Raw genomic sequence first — 2,583 nt, 5'->3', positions numbered from 1 at the left:
GCAAGACTCTGTCTCAAAAAATAATAATAAATAATAATAATAATAATTTTTTTGTTGCTTAAGCCACCCAGTCTGTAGTACTTTATTCTGGCAGCCTCAGCAAGCTAATAGACTCTACTCTCTAAAGCCCATCTTTGCATGGCAAAATGGAAATAATAATAGTATCTCTCTCAGAGAATTGTTGGGAGAATCAACTGCAATACTGTGTATGTTACACCTAGAACATTGTCTAACACATAAGTCATACAAAGGAGCAATGAAAAAGATAGTGATGATGACGATGCTACCTCCTTACCTAAAATTCTTCATTGGCTCCACATTGCCCAAAAAAAGAAAGTCCAAACTTATTAGCACGCTCCACGGCACTAAATGACCCAGACAGTGCATGCCCCTCAGCTCACCTCTTGCATGTGCTACAGCCATTCCAAACTGCTTAGAGTTTCCAGAGCACCTGCTGTCCCATTGTCCCAGGCTTTCTGATGCCTCCCTTTCTTCCTAACAGCCTTTTCCTACAGCATTGCTTACTCTCATCTTCAGAACAACTGCTCAGCTAGGATGTCATCTCCTCAAGGATCTCTCTGTGCTCACTTCTGCCCCCTGCTGAAATAAGAGCCCACAACACCCTGTCATTAATTTTATTTTACCACCTATCACTCTGTATGATAGTTGCATATGTCCTATCAGACTTTTCCAAAGGACCTTCTATTCCTTCAGCGATTACGCCTGATTCATTATTGAATCCCCAGTGTAGATCCTAACATGTGCCATGAACTAACTCATGAAATATTTGTGGAAGGAATGAATGATTCTGACCCTATGTCATCAGCCATGCTTTCAGTGGGGGCCTTGCCTGCTCGTTCCCACAGCACACTCAATGAGAATCTCACAAGGCATGACAATGCATGCTCAGGTGCCAGAATTCAGGACTAAGTCTCTGGTAGATAACTGTGTGTTTCAAAATCATTGCAAGAGGATACAAAGGAATGTATTATATTTGACAGGAAAAACCCTGGTGTGCAAACAATACATCTATGTAAGCTGCAAAAGAATGATTGTAAGCTTTTTTGAAAAAGAGGATGAGATGTGTTCAGTAACTCTGAGGAATTTGTTATTTACAAGCACGTTGCTGGTATTTTGGCCATCAGGCATTTCTCTCAAATGAAATGCCAAGAATGTGCCTGAGAACAACAGATGCCTTTCATTTGGAGGCCCAGCTCTGCTCCTGACAGAAAGTGTGTCCCCATAAGGTACACCCTGCTTGCCCCAAACATGCTGGCCCAGAAGGCATTACCCGTCCCCCCCTCTCATTTCCTCCGTGCTAGCAGTACCAGCCCCTGTGAGGAAGACTCAGAGGTCAGTCGACACCCAGCCATTCCCCCACATACATGCTGACTAAACTATCCTGAGTAAACCAGTCGAGGCCTTATAGCCCCCCAAAACATTTGCATGATGATGTTACTTTTTAAATTCAGTATCAGCCTGGGTGTGGTAGCTCATGCCTGTAATCCCAGCACTTTGGGAGGACGAGGTGGGAGGATCACTTGAGGTCAGGAGCTCGAGACCAGCCTGACCAACATGGCAAAACCCTGTCTTTACTAAAAATACAAAAATTAGCTGGGCGTGGTGGTGCATGCCTGTAATCCCACCTACTCGGGAGGCTGAGGCAGGAGAATCATTTGAACCTGGAAGACAGAGGTTGCAGTGAGCCAAGATTGCACCACTGCACTCCAGCCTGGGTTACAGAGTAAGACTCTGTGTCTAAATAAATAAATAAATAAATTCAGCATCAGGAATTTTGAACTGACGGGCTTTCTCTCACTGATATGTTTCCATTTATGTCTTAATTGCCAAGACTTTGAGACTCGCATTGAATATCTAATCACAATGACTATGTTAGCCGATGCCTTAGGTCTGTTTCCTTCCTCACTTCTGTATGATATTGAATTGTCCAGTTTTACTCTAATTATGCTGGCAGAGGGCATGGGTCTGGGCTCTGAAGTCAGACTACCTAGGTTTGGATCCCGGCTCTGCCCCTCATCAGCCGTGTAAACTTGGGGAAGCTAATTAACCTTTCTGTGCCTCAGTCTCCTTATCTGTAAAATGGGGACAGTTAAATGAGTTAATACACATAAACAGAAAACACAGATATGAAGATATAGAAACGTATGTAAAAAATAGAACAGTGACTGGTACAAAGTCATTGCTACGGCAGAATTTTTTATATGTAGTTATTAATATAAGTTGCTTGAATATCTTTGGGAAGCAGTTTAAGTATAAATTATAAATATATGATAATATTAGTAAAACATATTTGCTTTAGGAATGTATAGCTTGTAATTTTTCTGATTGGTACAGAGTCATTGCTACAACAGAATTTTTTTATATATAGTTATTAATATAAATTGCTTCAAATATCTTTGGGAAGCAGTTTGAGTATAAATTGTAAATATATGATATTAGTAAAACATATTTGCTCTAGGAATGCTTAGCCTGTAATTTTTCTTTTTGATAACACAATTGACAGAACAAATTTGATTCAGGACCTCATGGTGTATGCACACACACATACACACACACACAAAC

General features: G+C 40.9%; 1 annotated feature.

Annotated features, from left to right (window-relative positions):
• Positions 245–746: an enhancer, noted in NCBI's record as "NANOG hESC enhancer chr9:89230395-89230896 (GRCh37/hg19 assembly coordinates)". NCBI's record gives its function as "activates a minimal SCP1, AML or CMV promoter by ChIP-STARR-seq in primed H9 embryonic stem cells {active_cell/tissue: H9 hESC(primed)}" and the evidence as "EXISTENCE:reporter gene assay evidence [ECO:0000049][PMID:30033119]".

Source organism: Homo sapiens, chromosome 9 (assembly GCF_000001405.40).
Source record: "Homo sapiens chromosome 9, GRCh38.p14 Primary Assembly".
Lineage (NCBI taxonomy): Eukaryota > Metazoa > Chordata > Mammalia > Primates > Hominidae > Homo > Homo sapiens.
This window is presented reverse-complemented; position numbering and strand designations above follow the sequence as displayed.